Consider the following 17,808-nt stretch of genomic DNA (forward strand, 5'->3'; position numbering starts at 1 on the left):
GCACTTTGGGAGGCTGAGGCAGGTGGATCACCTGAGGCCAGGAGTTCGAGACCAGCCTGGCTAACATGGCGAAACCCTGTCTCTATTTAAAAAAAAAAAAAAAAGGCACGGTGGCACGTGCCTGTAATTCCAGCTACTCAGAGGCTGAAGCAGAGAATTGCTTGAACCTGGGAGGCGGAGGTTGCAGTGAGCCGAGTTCGTGCCACTGCACTCCAGCCTGGGTGACAGAGCAAGACTGCATCTCAAAAAAACAAAAGGTGGTTAGGAAGTGACTAAAGTAGGGGTTTCCAGTGCTGGCTCTATGCTAATCACCTGGAAAGGTTGTAAAAATACTGATTCTCAAGAGAATCTCATACCTTCACTCTACTGGGGTAGGGCCTAGCGTCACATTTTTCTAATATTCTAGCAAAATCTTCGAACTTAGGTGTTTGCTATAAAACTCTCTCCCAGGCAGGCCCTGCCTTCTGCAGCCCTATTGGACGATGCAAATTTCCCCAGTAGTACTCACCTGTGCTCTTCCTGCCTCAGGCAACCTCTGAATCAGTCTCCCCCACCTTATGTGAAATGGGCTTGAATAGGTTAGAAGCTGATGTGGGTTGTTGTGTTTTTTGTTTGTTTTTGTTTTTGAGAGTTTTGCTCTTGTTGCCCAGGCTAGAATGCAATGGCACGATCTCCGCTCACTGCAACCTCTGCCTCCCGGGTTCAAGCGATTCTTCTGCCTCAGTCTCCCGAGTAGCTGGGATTACAGGCACGTGCCACCACACTCAGCTAATTTTTTTTTTTTAAGTAGAGATGGGGTTTCACCATGTTGGTCAGGCTGGTCTCAAACTCCTGACCTCAGATGATCTGCCCTCCTCAGCCTCCCAAAGTGCTGGGATTACGGGCGTGAGCCACAGCGCCCAGCCAGAAGCTGATAAGTGTTAACAGCTGGGCACTTCCTGACTGCTTCCTGGCGGCTATCTTGGCCCTGGGCCTCTCCTGAAAGAGGAAACTGTATGTACTGGGGGGCATGGAGGGGGAGTGTCAGAAGGGATGTGTCATGTGCCCTGATGCCTCTATTGCTTGGGTGTTACATGGTATCTGCCATGTGGTTGATCCAGTCTGCCTGTGGTGGTGTCAATATGTGGTGTCAGGTAAAGATTCCGAGGTACAAAGACAGTACCTGTCCTGCCTCTTTCCTGACCAGTGGCAGAGCCTGTGTTCTCTTTTGTAGAGATGGGGTCTTGCTATGTTTCCCAGGCCAGTCTCAAACTCCTGGCCTCAAGCAATCCTTGGCCTCCCAAAGTGCTGGGGTTACAGGCATGAGTCACTGCACCTGGCCTTGACCCTGTGGTCTTTCTGTCCCCTTGTGGGCTGCCCTCCCTGAGCACTCAGGTATGGCTTGGGAGTACCCGGGCAGGTGATGGCCGGCAGCATTAACTTCTCACCTTTCCTCCAGGTAACTGACGATGCCCTGGTGTACAGCACCTTCCTGCTCCATGACCCCCGCCCCGTGGGAAACCTGTCCATCGTGAGGACTAACCGCGCAGAGATTCCCATCGAGTGCCGCTACCCCAGGTCGGTGTGGGACTGACTCATGGCCCCTGGTGCAAAAGCCCCTTGGGTGTGGCTGCAGGCAAGTGGGCTGGCTATGGGCTACAGCTTGCAGCATGGCTATTAGAACTACCTACCGAAGCATTTGCAGCTGTGGTTACTGTACTGCGTGGGATTGTGGGGCCTGCTGAGTCTAGTTCGAGCCCCAGAAGAGTATCAGGAGCCCAACTGCAGCTTAGCGGAAGCTTCAGAGCTGCTCAGCCCTGGTGGTGGTACTATGCCAGCCTCGGCCCTTAGGGTTCAGAAATGGCCTTCCAATAGTGCTAGGCTGGGGCCAGGTGCAGTGGCTCATCCTGTAATCCTAGCACTTTGGGAGGCTGACAGGTGGATCGCTTGAGGTCAAGGAGTTCAAGACCAGTCTGGCCTACATGGTGAAACCCCATCTCTACTAAAAACACAGAAATTAGCCGGGTGTCTATAATCCCAGCTACTTGGGAGGCTGAGGCAGGAGAATTGCTTGAACCCAGGAGGCAGAGGCTGCAGTGAGCCGAGATTGCACTGCTGTACTCCATTCTGGGCAACAAAGCGATACTCCATCGCAAAAAATAATAATAAAATAGTGCTAGGCTGCGTTCTAGAATCTGACCTGGGCGGTGGTGGCCTACTCTTCTGTGGTCCTCAAGCCCCTGGCATCAAGCACGTGCCTGTGAACTCAGGCCCTGAAGTGGGAGGAGAAACTATGGCTCCCAAGGACAACACTGGGTCCTGTGCTGGCCTCAGCATGGGGTGCAGGGGACTTTGTCCCTGCCCTTGAACCAGTCTGGGAGTGGGTATAAGATGATGCGGCCAGGTATGGTGGCTCACGCCTGTAATACCAGCCCTTTGGGAGGCCAAGGTGGGCAGCTCACGAGGTAAGGAGTTCAGGACCAGCCTGGCCAACATGGTGAAACCCATCTCTACTAAAAACACAAAAAAATTAGCCGAGTGTGGTAGCGCGTGCCTGTAATCTCAGCTACTCAGGAGGCTGAGGCAGGAGAATCATTTGAACCCAGGATGCAGAGGTTGCAGTGAGCTGAGATGGCACCATTGCACTCCAGCCTGGGCAACAGAGCAAGACTCCATCTCAAAAAGAAAATGCTAGTGTGAAGTGGGTAGGGAGCTGATACCAGTCAGGACATCATGAGGGATGAGCCATGCCCCTGGGAGGGGTCATGGTAGGGGTTATCCTAGAACAGGATCCTGGAGTGGGGGACCTTGAGGCTGAGATGGCCTGGGCAGAGCCATGTGGCCACACACCCAACGGGAGGGTAGTGTGCCCTTAGTAGGTGACATGCAGCCTGGGGGCTGGAGCCCAGGGACTGGGGTAATGAGGGAGCCAGACAGATGGGCTCACCAGCCTCACCACAGGTGCCCCTCCTGGAATGGGTGAGGACTGAATCTCCACCCAGGGTCACCTGGTGGCTGGTGCTGAAGACAAATGGGAACTAGTGAGAACCAGCTGGGAGGCTGGAAAACTGGGATTCAATGAGGCCTGACCCATGGTTGCAGGGACCGTAGAGGCTGACTCGCAGGAGCTAAGAGCAGTTGGAGGAGCTTGGTGCCTATGTGGGTAGGGGAGATGGAGGAGGATAGAGGAGTCAAGGGCAGGCTGCCCAGTCGGCATGAGGGACTGAAGCTGTCCTGTGACCGTGGAAGTCTGACTTCAGTCTCTGGGCCTGACCCCTGAGGATGGTGGCTCACCTGGTCCATTGGCTGTAGGTAGTATTAGAGAGGCTGGTTGTAGGCTGGGATGCTTTAACCTGGCTCCAGATACCTGAGTCTGGTTATCAATAGATGCATCCATCACTTGGAGTAGCTTCTTCCAGCAGATCCTATGGGGTTAGCAGGGTAGGTATCTGCAGATACCCAGACCTGCTTCCATGGACTTCCCAGTCACTGGTGTGGGTCCAGGCTCTCGGTAGCATCTCAAGACCTAAGGGCCTGTCTTTGATCTCTAAAGGATGGCCTTGGCTGGGCATGGTGGCTCACGCCTATAATCCCAGCACTTTGGGAGGCCGAGGCGGGCGGATCATGAGGTCAGGAGATGGAGACCATCCTGGCTAACGTGGTGAAACCCCGTCTCTACTAAAAATACAAAAAATTAGCCAGGCCTAGTGGCGGGTGCCTGTAGTCCCAGCTATTTGGGAGGCTGAGGCAGGAGAATGGCGTGAACCTGGGTGGTGGAGCTTGCAGTGAGCCGAGATCGTGCCACTGTACTCCAGCCTGGGAGACAAAGTGAGACTCCGTCTCAAAAAAAAAAAAAAAAGATGGCCTTAGCTGATTCCCCTCTCAAGCATCCTGTGGAGTACTGTGCAGGGCCTGCTATCAGACCCCAAACCTGAACCTCTAGGGCTAAAGTATGTGTGGTGGCTTTTGGTTTTTTGTTTAAAAAAAAAAAGTCTTACTCTGCCGCCCAGGCTGGAGTGCAGTGGGGTGCCATCATAGTTCACTGCAGCCTTGACCTCCTGGGCTCAAGCAATCCTCCCATCTCAGCCTCCTGAGTAGCTGGTATGTACTACTATGCCCAGCTATCTTTTCTTTTCTTTTCTTTTTTTTTTGAGATGGAGTCTTGCTCTGTTGCCCAGGCTGGAGTGCAGTGGTGTGATCTCAGCTCACTGCAAACTCCACCTCCGAGGTTCACGCCATTCTCCTGCCTCAGCCTCCCAAGTAGCTGGGACTAAAGGCGCCCGCCACCATGCCCGGATAATTTTATTTTTAGTGGAGATGGGGTTTCACCATGTTAGCCAGGATGGTCTCGATCTCCTGACCTCATGATCCGCCCGCCTCGGCCTCTCAAACTGCTGGGATTATAGGCTTGAGCCACCGTGCCTGGCCTCTTTTCTTTTTTATAGAGATAGAGTCTTGCTATGTTGTCCAGGCTGCTCTCAAACTCCTAGCCTCAGGCAATCCTCCAGTCTCCACCTCCCAAAGTGCTGGGATTACAGGCATGAGCCACCGCACTCAGGTCCAGGGCTCAAGAGGGAGCAGATCTCAGTCTAGAAACCAAACTCCTAGGTTCAGCTGTATCTGTCTTCAGCGGCCCAGATAGCATCATAGCATCAGTTAGGATGGCTAGGCCACTCACAGGTGCAGAAGTTCAGGAGGGTGCAGGGGCAGCCTCAGGCTCAAGGTGTCTGTTCAGCCATCTCGCACCAGCTACCTGGCTGGGCCATAGCTGAGGACCCTGTAGTGGGGTAGCAGTGAGATACTCCCCATCAGTGGGGGCCCAGGTGGGTGTGACCTGAGGCAGGTGTGCACAGCTGCTGTTCTTCTCTCAGGCAGGGCAATGTGAGCAGCCAGGCCATCCTGCCCACCTGGTTGCCCTTCAGGACCACGGTGTTCTCAGAGGAGAAGCTGACTTTCTCTCTGCGTCTGATGGAGGGTAAGAGAAGAAGGCTGGGTGGGACATCTGTGGAAAGACCTGGGCCATCTCAGACCCCTGCCCTTGGCTGTGTCTTTTTTTTGTTTGTTTGGTTTTGGTTTTGGTTGGTTTTGGTTGGTTTTGGTTGGTTTTGGTTGGTTTTTGAGACAGTCTTGATCTGACCTCCAGGCTGGAGTGCAGTGGCACGATCTCAGCTCACTGCAGTCTCCACCTCCTGGGGTTCAAACGATTCTCCTGCCTCAGCCTCCCGAGTAACTGGGACTACAGGCTTCTGACACCACACCCAGCTAACTTTTCTATTTTTAGTAGAGATGGGGTTTTGCCACGTTGGCTAGGCTGGTCTCGAACTCCTGACCTCAGGTGATCCACCTGCCTCAGCCTCCCAAGGTGCTGGGATTACAGGCATGAGCCACCATGCCCAGCTGACTGTGTCTTTCAGAGAACTGGAACGCTGAGAAGAGGTCCCCCACCTTCCACCTGGGAGATGCAGCCCACCTCCAGGCAGAAATCCACACTGGCAGCCACGTGCCACTGCGGTTGTTTGTGGACCACTGCGTGGCCACACCGACACCAGACCAGAATGCCTCCCCTTATCACACCATCGTGGACTTCCATGGGTGAGCACTGGGCTCCCTGCCTAGAGAACCTTCCTAGCAAAATGACCCTAAAGCCACCTGTTTGGCTTTTTGAGACAGTGTCACTCTGTAACCCAGGCTGGAATACAGAGGCTTGATCTCTGCCCTCTGCAACCTCTGCCTCCCAGGTTTAAGTGATTCTCCTGCCTCAGCCCCCCAAGTAGCTGAGATTACAGGTGCCCATCACCATGCCTGGCTAATTTTTGTATTTTTAGTAGAGACAAGGTTTCACCATGTTTGCCAGGCTAGTCTCGAACTCCTGACCTCAAGTGATCCACCCACCTTGGCCTCCCAAAGTGCTGGGATTATGGGCGTGAGCCACGGTGCCCGGCCCACCTGTCTGGCTTTAATACCGTTCTGTTTTCTTCCAAGCTGTCTTGTCGACGGTCTCACTGATGCCTCTTCTGCATTCAAAGTTCCTCGACCCGGGCCAGATACACTCCAGTTCACAGTGGATGTCTTCCACTTTGCTAATGACTCCAGAAACATGGTAAGAGCTTTAACAGCCTGAAAGAAGGCTGAACTTGCAACCTTCATATCCTACTGAATGGGGTCACTCACTAGCTCCACCCCTAAGCAAATGACTTAGAGCTGTGTCCCAGTAACTCAAACTTACAAGTAAAGCCATGAGCTTTAGCGAGGCCTTCAAGCAGAAGGATGAACAATATGAAGCCTTAAGAGGTAGAGGCCGGGCACGGTGGCTCATGCTTGTAATCCCAATACTTTGGGAGGCCGAGGGGGGTGGATCACTTGAGGTCAGGAGTTCAAGACCAGCCTGGCCAACATAGTAAAACCCCGACTCTACTAAATATACAAAAAAAATTAGCTGAGTGTGGTGGTTGGGTACCTGTAATCCCAGCTACCTGGGAGGCTGAAGCAGGAGAATAGCTTGAACCTGGGAGGCAGAGGTTGCAGTGAGCAGAGATTGTGCCACTGCACCTCCAGCCTGAGTGACAGTGAGACTCCATCTCCAAAAAAAAAAAAAAAGGCAGGTGTTAGCCTTCCTGGAGGCTTTCTGCAGGGGCAAAGAAAACCAGTGTGAACTTCGTAGCCAGGGTGGCTTCTTGAACTTGGTCATAGGTTAGGCTAGTGATTCTGAAGGCATCATCCTCAGCTGGAGGGCTTGTTGAAATTGATGACTGGGCCCCAACCCAGGGTTTGATTCAGGTGGTCTAGTGAAGCCTAGAATCTGCATTCTTAAGTGTTGGTTCTGCCAGTCTGGGTCCTCCCCTTGAGAACCTAAACTAGAAAACTCAAATTGACACTAAGAGGGAAGGAGAAGGAAGGAATGAAGATGGGAACTGCCTAATGGCTGAGGTGGGGGAGGGATGCAGTAGGAAGTGCAGGTGCAAGGACCAACATCTAGCCGGGAAGTACTGGTAAGTGGTTAGAAGTAAATTGCCTGGTGCGGTGGCTCGTGCCCATAATCCCAGCACTTTGGGAGGCTGAGGCGGGCAGATCACGAGGTCAGGAGATTGAGACCATCCTGGTTAACACGGTGAAACCCCCTCTACTAAAAATACAAAAAATTAGCTGGGCATGATGGTGGGCACCTGTAGTCCCAGCCACTCCAGGTTCCCAGGTGCAAGTGATTCTCCTGCCTCAGTCTCCCAAGTAGCTGGGAGTACAGGTACCCGCCACCATGCCTGGCTAATTTTTTTGTATTTCTAGTAGAGACAAGGTTTTACCATGTTGTCCAGGCTGGTCCCAAACTCCTGACCTCAGGTGATCCGCCTGCCTCGGTCTCCCAAAGTGCTGGAATTACAGGCGTGAGCCACCATGCCCAGCCTCAAGTAGCTTTTAAACAAGCTCACTGAGATGAGAGGTGAGGCGGTGAGCTTAGAATAGGTGGTTAGGAAGTGATTAAAGTAGGGGTTTCCAGTGCTGGCTCTATACTAATCATCTGGAGAGGTTGTAAAAATACTGATTGTAGAGAGTCTCATACCTTCACTCTATTGGGGTAGGGCATGGTGTCACATTTTGTAACATTAACTAAATCTTCATAGGTGTTTGCTGTAAAACTCCATGAACTTCAGTGTGCACACCATCTAGGTTCTACCACCAGCATTTTTTTTTTTTTTTTGAGACAGTCTCACTCTGTCACCCAAGCTGGAATGCAATGGTGCGGTCTTGGCTCACTGCAACCTCTGCCTCCGGGTGCAAGCAATTCTGCCTCAGCCTCCTGAGTAGCTGGGATTGTAGGCGCCTGCCACCATGCCCGGCTAATCCTTGTATTTCTTAGTAGAGACAGGGATTCATCATTTTGGCCAGGCTGGTCTTGAACTCTTGACCTCATTATCCAACCGCCTCAGCTTCCCAAAGTGCTGGGATTATAGGCATGAACCACCACGCGCCCCCCGCCCCCTTTTTTTTTTTTTTTTTTTTTTTTTTTTTTTTTTTTTTTTTTTTTGAGAGGGTCTCTGTCACCCAGGCTGGAGTACAGTGGCCCAATCTTAGGTCACTGCAACTTCCACCTCCCAGGCTCAAGCGATTCTCCTGCCTTAGCCTCCCAAGTAGCTGAGATTGTAGGCATACGCCACTACTGAGTGCCTGTTATATTTTTAGTAGAGATGGTTTCACCATATTGGCCAGGCTGGTCTTGAATACCCGACCTCAAACGATCCACCTGCCTTGGCCTCCCAAAGTGCTGGGATTACAGGCGTGAGCCACTGTACCCGGCCTGCTAGCATTTTACTGTTATCCTCCATCTACTGACCTACCTTATTCTACTTGGAAATGCATCAAAAGCCACTTAAGCTCCTAGGTGACTCTAATACGCAGCCAGGCTTGCAAACCTCTGAAGCAGAGGCTCATACGTCAGGGTGGCATTAAGGGACAAAGTAGAAACTTTTCAAAGATGACATCGATGCCACTTCACCTCCTCCAGCAGCTGCCTTGTGGGAAGAGAAAGATCAACACACAGATCAGTAGGGTAGCAAAAGGGAAAAGCATCTAATATTGATGAGATGGCCTGAAGCTCTCAGTGGTGGGCCCTGCTTCAGTGGGGCTGGGGATAAAGGAGGGCAGATTTGGGAAAAGAGTCCTGGCCCTCGGATCAGTGACCGATAGCTCCTTAGGGGAGAGGATCCTGGTTGTGGGAGGAAGTCAAGATTGACCTCAGGTGTGGCCATTTGGGAAGAAGATGGAGAGAAGTTTTCACAGAGGTGGTAGCGGTCAGCATGGGTATGGACTGAGGTGGTTTCTCAATCTCTGGGGGTTGAGGGGTAACTAAGACCAGAGAACAGTGCTGTTTAATGGAAGATAGTCTGAGCCCTTGGAGGGCCCCCCTTCAAAGGTAGGATTGATGATGCCTCAGTAGACTATGTCCCATGGCACAAAGAAGGAACAACCCTATTTCAGAGCAATAGGGTGGCTGGGCACGGTGGTTCACATCTGTAATCCCAGCACCTTGGGAGGCCGAGGTGGGAGGATCAGAGTTCAGGTGTTTAAGGCTGCAGTGAGCTATGATGGTGCTATTGCCCTCAACAGAGCAAGACCCTGTGTACTTTTTTTTTTTTTTTTTTTTTTTGGACAGAGTCTCGCTCTGTCACCCAGGCTGGAATGCAATGGCATGATCTCGGTTCACTGCAACCTCCACCTCCTTATTCAAGCCATTCTCCTGCCTCAGCCTCCCTAATAGTTGGAATTATAGGCACTCAATCACCACGCCTGGCTAATTTTTGAATATTTAGTAGAGATGGGGTTTCACTATGTTGGTCAGGCTGGTCTTAAACTCCTGACCTCAGGTGATCCACCTGCCTCAGCAAGTGCTGGGATTACAGGCATGAGCTATCACACTCCCCTCTTTTTTTTTTTTTTTTTGTTTTTTTTTGGGGGGAAATGGAGTGTCACTCTTGTTGCCCAGGCTAGAGTGCAATGGCGTAATCTCAGCTCACTGCAACTTCCCATCTCCCAGGTTCAAGCAATTCTTCCATTCCAGCCTCCCAAGTAGCTGGGATTATAGGCACCTGCCACCATGCCCAGCTAATTTCTGTATTTTTTTTTTTTTTTTTAGTAGAGATGGGGTTTCACCATGTTGGCCAGGCTGGTCTCAAACTCCTGACCTCAGGTGATCCACTGACCTCAGCCTCCCAAAGTGCTGGGATTACAGGCATGAGCCACCACGCCCAGCCTAGACCCTGCTTCTAAAAGGCCGCTATAGGGGAACTGCCCTGGGATCTTAGACTCCAGTTAGCACCAGAAAAACATACTAGGAAAAAGCTAAGGATGAAAGTACATTTCCTTTGTGGAATAGACAACAGGGCCTTGGAAGCTTCTTACTTGCAGGGCAGGTGGCTAAGATGGGCAGCTGGACAACTGCTAAACTGGCTTGTTTCTAAAAGTCTGAATTTACATGGTTTCAAGTTTCTCTGCTGGTGTACTTGGCCACTAGGTGGTGACTGAGGCTTGTGGCTCTGAGGCTTCTGCTGGAAGGTGGCAGAATTGCCATGCTCTGCCCGAGGTTGAGCAGGGAGGAATTTTAGCCCTGCCTGAAATATGAAGGGAAACTGACCTGGGGACGGGCCAAGGCTAGACTGAGCCCTGGCTCTGTCAGAATGGCCCCTAGCCCCAGCAGCAGGATGGAATGTCAGTCTAAAATGAGAAGGCTTGGCCAGGTACGGTGGCTCATGCCAATAATCCCAGCACTTTGTGAGGCCAAGGCAGGTGGATCACTTGAGGCCAGGAGTTCAAGACAAGCCTGGCCAACATGGGGAAACCCCATCTCTACTACAAATACAAAAACTAGCCTGGTGTGGTGGTGGGTACCCGTAATCCCATCTACTTGGGAGGCTGAGGCAAGAGAATCGCTTAAACCTCGGAGGTAGTGGCTACAGTGTACTCCAGCCTGGACTAGAGACAGACTCCGTCTCAGAAAAAAAAAAAAAAAAAAAGGGTAGCGGGGCAGTGCTTACAGGGTAGTTGACTATTCCCTGGGTGGTGGGGGGTCTTTCAGCTCCCAGCAGGAGCTCATATTGGGTTCATTCCCTCGTACTTGTCTAACGAGGGTGGGTAAACGTTTCCCAGAGGCCAGGACTGTCAGGGTATCAGCCTGGTGAGTCTTCTGGTCGTCATATCCCTTACAGGTGAAGGGAGACTGACGTAGGCTTGACTAATAGCAGAGGTATGTGCAAGGAAGAAAAGCCCAGGGAAGCTTGCCCAAAGAGTGAGCCATCAAACTCAAGTCTGGCCGGGCGCAGTGGCTCACGCCTGTAATCCCAGCACTTTGGGAGGCCAAGGCAGGTGGATCACAAGGTCAGGAGTTCAAGACCAGCCTGGCCAAGATGGTGAAACCCTGTCTCTACTAAAAATACAAAAAAATTAGCGAGGCATTATGGCAAGTGCCTGTAATCCCAGCTACTTGGGAGGCTGAGGCAGGAGAATTGCTTGAACCTAGGAGGCAGAGGTTGCAGTGAGCTGAGATCGTGCCATTGCACTCCAGCCTAGGCAACAGCAAGACTCCACCTCAAAAAAAAAAAAAAAAAAAACCTCTTAAGTCTGAAATGGAAACTCCACAGAAGCAAGTCCAAAAGGCTTCTTTATGTGCCCAAGGACCTCAGGTCCCAGAAACAACTTGGTCTTGCCTTAGCTGGCAATACAGTGACTACATCCCTGAAGAAAAGTAGCTTGTCAACTAGTCAAGTGGCAGGTGGCAGCGTCAGAAGCCCAGCTAAGCTGCTAGCTATTAAGGTGTCTACCACTCACCTCGGTCACCTGGGGATGGGCGCGGGTTTAGCAATGCTGAGTTAAGCCCAGGACTGGCCAGGCACGGATAGCTGGCACCTGTAATCCCAGTACTTTGGGAGGCTGAGGCGGACAGATCACTTGAGCCCAGGAGTTTGAGGCCAGCTTGGGCAACATGGCAAAACCTCATCTCTGCAAAAAATCCAAAATTAGCCAGGTGTAGTGGCTTGTACCCGTAATTCCAGCTGCTCATGAGGCTGAGGTGGGAGGATCCCTTGAGCCCAGGAGGTCAAGGCTATAGTGAGGCATCATCATACCACTGTACTCCAGCCTGGGTGACAGGCCCTGTCTCAGAAGCCCAGGGTCAAGCATGCTCAATGATTGGGTAAGTTTGGAAAAGATCAGGGGAATAAGTGGTGGATTCCAGTCTAAAACTAGTTGCTACTTGCTCTAACATTGGGTAAGTGAACCTTTACACCATCTTAGAGATGAGGCTCTTCCTTCCCCCTGTTTATTTTATGAGACAGTCTCACTCTGTCAGCCAGGCTGGGGTGCAGTGGCATGATCTCGGCTCACTGCAACTTCTGCCTCCCAGGTTCCAGTGATTCTCCTGCCTCAGCCTTCCAGGTAGCTGGGACTACAGGTACCCACCACCACGCCCAGCTAACTTTGTATTTTTAGTAGCGATGGGGTTTCACCATGTTGGCCAGGTTGGTCTCGAACTCCTGACCTCAGGTGATCTACCCGCCTTGGGCTCCCAAAGTGCTGGGATTATAGGTGTGTGCCAATGCACCCGGCCCCTTCTCACTCTTTAAAGGGTTGAGGGTTATAAGAGAACTGGTGTGTTAAACTCCCAGGCACAGCCTGGAACTCGGCCTGGAAATAGCTGTTATTCCTTGCAGATATACATCACCTGCCACCTGAAGGTCACCCTAGCTGAGCAGGACCCAGATGAACTCAACAAGGCCTGTTCCTTCAGCAAGCCTTCCAACAGGTGAGGAGGACAGGTGCTCCGTGACTGGAGTAGAAACTGAATCGGCGACCCCTTGTCTATTTCCCCCAATATATTATCAGCAAACTGCTTCCTGCAGGCAACAAAAATCTAAGCTGCTTCTCTTTCATCTCAGCTGGTTCCCAGTGGAAGGCTCGGCTGACATCTGTCAATGCTGTAACAAAGGTGACTGTGGCACTCCAAGCCATTCCAGGAGGCAGCCTCATGTCATGAGCCAGTGGTCCAGGTCTGCTTCCCGTAACCGCAGGCATGGTATGTCACAGAATGGCCAAGAGGCTGTTCATTGTCCCTTACTCAGTTGAGGGTACCTGCTGTCATTTCAGGGTGATGGTATTTTCCCTTGTCCTCCATTAAAACTGTTTGTACCTAGGCCTGCAGCTACCTTTCCCTAACACAAATCTTGGGGTTAAGCAGGAGGGGCTCTCAGCCTTCCACCTCGGTGGCAGCCAGGGAGATCTGCTGTCATCCTAGGCTTCTACTGAGACATAATTAGGCATGTAGGGGAAATATAGCAGTTGTTAAGATAATCTGGCTTGGCATAGTGGCTCAGGCCTGTAATCCCAGCACTTCGGGAGGCCAAGGCGGGCAGGTCACCTGAGGTCAGGAGTTCGAGACCAGCCTGACCAACATGGAGAAACCCCATCTCTACTAAAAATAAAAAATTAGCTGGGCGTGGTGGTACATGCCTGTAATCCCAGCTACTTGGGAGGCTGAGGCAGGAGAATCACTTGAATCTGGGAGGCAGAGGTTGCAGTGAGCCGAGATTGCACCATTGTACTCCAGCCTGGGCAACAAGAGTAAAACTGTCTCTCAAAAAAAAAATAATAATCTGGCCAGAACAGTGGGTTGTGCCTATAATCCTAGCACTTGGGGAGGCTGAGGCCAGGGAAATCGCTTGAGCCCCATGAGTTCTCGACCAGCCTGGGCAACATAGCAAGACCCTGTCTCTACAAAAAAGATGATGTACTAGGGAATCCCTCTTGGGTGACCTGCTTTCTCCGTATGAGAAAGCTGTCTTTTTCTTTTTTCTTCCCCCTCCCCTGCACCAAGATGGTGTCTAGCTCTGTCCTCCAGGCTGGAGAGCAATGGCACGATCTCTGCTCACTGAAACCTCTACCTCCCAGGTTCAAGCTATTCTCCTGCCTCAGCCTCCCAAGTAGCTGAGACTACAGGCATGTGCCACCATGCCCAGTTAACTTTTTTATTTTCAGTAGAGACGGGTCTTGCCGTGTTGGCCAGGCTGGTCTCAAACACCTGACCTCAGGTGATCTGCCTGCCTCAGCCTCCCAAAGTGCTGGGATTACAGGCATTAGCCATCACACCTGGCCGAGAAAGCTGTGTTTTTTTTGTCTAGAAACTGTTTATTAGCCCACACAAAAAAGACAACATATTAGTTTAGCCCACTGAGGCAGAATAAAACCTCCAACCCAGTTCCCGGTTAGGGACTAAGATAACCCTTGGTTGTGTGTTCTCCTTTCACAGTGACAGAAGAAGCAGATGTCACCGTGGGGCCACTGATCTTCCTGGACAGGAGGGGTGACCATGAAGTAGAGCAGTGGGCTTTGCCTTCTGACACCTCAGTGGTGCTGCTGGGCGTAGGCCTGGCTGTGGTGGTGTCCCTGACTCTGACTGCTGTTATCCTGGTTCTCACCAGGAGGTGTCGCACTGCCTCCCACCCTGTGTCTGCTTCCGAATAAAAGAAGAAAGCAATATCTGGTCGTGGTGTGGTGGTCAGATGGAAGGTCAGAATTAGTACTGACTGTGTCGGGTGGGGACGACTGTATACCACCCGCCCCGTGCACTCACATAGCATAGTCCAGCAAGCACTACTGTGTCTCTACTGTAAACAGGGCAGGGTTCATGTCCTTAGACAACTATAATCTATCACCTCCATGGGAACCAACATGGAAACTCTTAGATGAAGGTCAGTCTGGCTGGACCCACCTTACTTCTAGGCTAGCAAAGAATCTTATATCTCTGGCCCCCATGGATTTGACTCTAGACATGGGAGTGGGGAGGAGAGAGCTTCCAGGCCCACTTCTCCAAGGCAAGCAGGCAGGCAGCTCTGTCCAGATGCTAGAGGCCAGAAGGCCAGTCATGACTGGGCCCTCCCAGTAGGGCAGTGATCAGAGCACTGCTTCTGCCTGGTCTTAGCTGTCACCTTGGGCTTGAAGCTATTCTTGGGACATGTTGGTATGAACTTGTCAAAGCTGCAGCAAGGGGTGACTGGCACTCCAAGCCATTCCAGGAGGCAGCCTAATGTCATAAGCCGGTGGTCCTGAGGTGGCTCTGAGGTGGGTACTTTTGCTTTGGGGGTAGGAAGCCTCAGGAGAGCTGAGAACCTGCTTTGGTTTTGGTTTTGTTTTGATTTGTCCCTTTTGAGAGAAAGGTCTGGCTGTGTTGCCCAGGCTGGAGTGCAGTAGTATAGTCACAGCTCACTGCAACCTGGAACTCCTGGTCTCCAGCCATCCTCCTGCCTGAGCTTCCTGAGTTGCTGGGACTACAGGCATGAGCCCCACTGTGCCCAATTTATTCTATTTTTGGTAGGAACTGGGTCTTGCTATGTTCCCCAAGCTGGCCTCGAACCCCTGGCCTCACGTGATCTCTCTCCTTGGCCTCCAAAAGCACTGGGATTATAGACATGAGGCCTCACTGTCACTGGGGGGAGCTGCTTCTCAACCTCCCCCTACCTTTATCGCACTCCCTAAATAGGCTGCTTCCCTCCCCCAGGTTTCAGCCATAGTTCCTAGGAGTGAATAAGGGAATTGTGCCCCAAGGAGGGTGCCCAGGGAACTTGTGCCCCCTTTGCTGGGGAAGGTGTTCATGGTACCTCTGTGGGAGGCTTCACATCCCTCAGTAGTTGGCTCCAGCCTTGCCCCAAACTCAAGCCATTCTCACTCGGGGAAGTTCACTTGCGCTGCAGCATCCCAGCCTGGCTGGCTACTTGCTGTGAGCCTGCCAGTCCTCATGGGCAACATGGGGGTGGCACCTACTGAGCAGGATTAGGCATAAACTGATGAAAGCTGAAAGATGCTCAGGTGCAACTGGCATGGTGCTTATCTCTGGCCCTTCTGGCTGAGGGCAGGGGCTCCAGCGTGTTGACTCGGGTATAGACATGTCTATAGTGCATTCAGAGCAAGGTTTGGGTAGCTTTGGACCTACTGAGAGCAGGAAGGCCTTTGATACTCTAAGTGTGGTCTGTGAACGTTGGCATCACCTGAGAATTTGTTAGAAATGTATCATTTAAAGCCCCATCCCAGACCTAGAAATTTGCATCTTAAATCCCAGGGTGGGGTGGGCATGGTGGCTCACGCCTGTAATCCCAGCACTTTGGGAAGCCAAGGCAGGTGGATCACCTGAGGTCAGGAGTTCAAGACAAGCTTGGCTAATATGGTGAAACCCCGTCTCTACTAAAAATACAAAAAATTAGCTGGGCATCGTGGTGGGTGCCTGTAATCCCAGCTAGCTGGGAGGCTGAAGCAGGAGAATTGCCTGAACCCGGGAGAGGCAGAGGTTTCAGGGGGCTGAGATCGCGCCACTGTACTCCAGCCTGGGCAACAGCAAGACTCCATCTCAAAAAAAAAAAAAACAAAAACCCAGGTGATTTGAGTGGTTAAGGGCACTGAGCCAGGGACTTGTGGCACGAAGGGATTGTTCCGGGTGAGCCGCTTGCGGCCTAAGCAGGTTGTGGTGTGATCTGTAGGGGAGTAACAGGCTGGGGTTCAAAAACGCCAGATACAGTGGTTCAGGCCTGTAATGCCAGCACTTTGGGAGACCGAAGTGGGAAGATGGCTTGAGCCTAGGAGCTCAAGACCAGCCTGAGCAACGTGGTGAGACCCCATCTCTACAAAATATAAAAATTAGCCGAGCACAGTGGTACGTGCCTGTAGTCCCAACTGCTTGGGAAGCTGAGGCTGGAGGATCACTTGAGCCCAGGAATTCAAGGCTACAGTGAGCTGTACTCACTGCTCAGGTCCCAGCCTTGCTGCCTCCTGCTGCGCTCTAGCCAGAGTGACAGAGCAAGACCTTCTCAAAAAACAAAATTGCCTAGGGGTTGCAGAGGTAGGCTTCCTGGAGGTGGTGATCCAGAAGCAAATCCTCAACCATGGGGAGGTGGATGTGGTGGCTCACACCTGTAATCTTAGCATTTTGGGAGGCCGAGGCGAGTGGATCACTTGAAACCAGGAGTTCAAGACCAGCCTGGCCAACATAGCAAAACCCCATCTCTACTAAAAATATAAAAATTAGCCAGGTGTGTGGTGGGTGCCTGTAGTCCCAGCCACTGGGGAGGCTGAGGCAGGAGAATCACTTGAACCCAGGAGATGGAGGTTGCAGTGAGCCAAGAGCGTGCCACTGCATTCCAGCCTGGGTGTTGGAGTGAGAATATCTCAAAAAAAAGAGGGGAGAGAAATGGGAGAATCTGTGCCCTGGGGGCATGGAAGGCCTCAGTGCCTAGTAAAGAGTGGGGCTTGGCCTGGAGAGGGAGGCCTCATGGGCCAGATAAGGGAGATACTGGCCCATCTAAGCATGCGTGTGCCGGTAGACTTTCCCTGTCAAGATGATCAACTGGAATGGCAGAGAATGCGGCCTGCAGGCTGGGAGACATCCTTGAAGCCATATCCCCAGGCCCTAGTCCCATCTGCCACTCTTTTTTTTTTTTTGAAACGAGGTCTTGCTATGTTGCCCAGGCTGGACTCCAACTCCTGGGCTCAAGCATTCCTCCTGCCTCAGCCTCCCAAGCAGCCACAAACCACACCTGGCTTCTTCCTGCCACTTCTAGCTTAGCAGGTAACTTCATCTGTAAAAAGGGGATGACGTGATTTCTTGGGGGAATGAGTAGAGCGCTTGGTAGAATCATGGCTCATGCAAGAGGTCTCTGAGCCGGGCGTGGTGGCTCATGTCTGTAATCCCAGCACTTTGGGAGGCTGAGGTGGGCAGATCACGAGGTCAGGAGTTCGAGACCAGCCTGGCCAACATAGTGAAACCCCATCTGTACTAAAAATACAAAAATTAGCCAGGCGTGGTGGCATGTGCCTGTAGTCCCAGCTACTTGGGAGGCTGAGGCAGGAGAATCGCTTGAACCCGGGAGGTGGAGGTTGCAGCGAACCAAGATTGCACCACCCCGGGCAACAGTGCGAGACTCCGTTTCAAAAAAAAAAAAAAAAAAGGTCTCTGGCAAAATGCTCCAGGCTTGGGGTCCGACGGGTACTTCTACCCCTGACAATCTGTTTACTTATCACCATCCTCTTTTCAGATGGGGAAGTTCTTTCCATCAGGATTATAGCAAGGATTGGTCTTCATGGCACACTTGGCATCCAAGCACGTGTTGTTGGAGCTGTTCTATGAGCCAGGAGACATCGGGGAACGGTTCTTGAAATAAACATCCGTCTCTTCCTTGTACTCAAGTTCTTAGGGGTTGCAACTTTCTGAGAGCTTGTCCTTCATTCAACTTCTTTTCTCAGCAGAAAGAGGAAGTGGCTGTGTCAGGGGAGGGGAGGAGTTATGACTAAGATGTGGCCATGAAT

The 17,808-nt window shown here is 51.8% G+C and overlaps 1 protein-coding gene across 2 annotated transcripts in view, besides 2 other annotated features; it reads left to right on the forward strand.

The window, feature by feature from the left end:
- Positions 1-13,993, forward strand: part of ZP3 (zona pellucida glycoprotein 3) — a 44,548-nt gene extending 30,555 nt beyond the window's left edge. For both annotated transcript variants that reach the window (NM_007155.6, NM_001110354.2), the window contains 7 exons: positions 1,439-1,557; positions 4,851-4,954; positions 5,394-5,571; positions 5,962-6,079; positions 12,174-12,265; positions 12,399-12,535; positions 13,766-13,993. In NM_007155.6, the coding sequence (NP_009086.4) occupies positions 1,439-1,557; positions 4,851-4,954; positions 5,394-5,571; positions 5,962-6,079; positions 12,174-12,265; positions 12,399-12,535; positions 13,766-13,980 (963 nt within the window). In that variant the 3' untranslated portion in view covers positions 13,981-13,993. The remainder of the gene's footprint in view (positions 1-1,438; positions 1,558-4,850; positions 4,955-5,393; positions 5,572-5,961; positions 6,080-12,173; positions 12,266-12,398; positions 12,536-13,765) is intronic.
- Positions 15,612-16,523: an enhancer, noted in NCBI's record as "H3K27ac hESC enhancer chr7:76073005-76073916 (GRCh37/hg19 assembly coordinates)". NCBI's record gives its function as "activates a minimal SCP1, AML or CMV promoter by ChIP-STARR-seq in naive H9 embryonic stem cells {active_cell/tissue: H9 hESC(naive)}" and the evidence as "EXISTENCE:reporter gene assay evidence [ECO:0000049][PMID:30033119]".
- Positions 16,524-17,433: an enhancer, noted in NCBI's record as "H3K27ac hESC enhancer chr7:76073917-76074826 (GRCh37/hg19 assembly coordinates)". NCBI's record gives its function as "activates a minimal SCP1, AML or CMV promoter by ChIP-STARR-seq in naive H9 embryonic stem cells {active_cell/tissue: H9 hESC(naive)}" and the evidence as "EXISTENCE:reporter gene assay evidence [ECO:0000049][PMID:30033119]".

Source organism: Homo sapiens, chromosome 7, assembly GCF_000001405.40.
Source record: "Homo sapiens chromosome 7, GRCh38.p14 Primary Assembly".
Classification (NCBI taxonomy): Eukaryota; Metazoa; Chordata; class Mammalia; order Primates; family Hominidae; genus Homo; species Homo sapiens.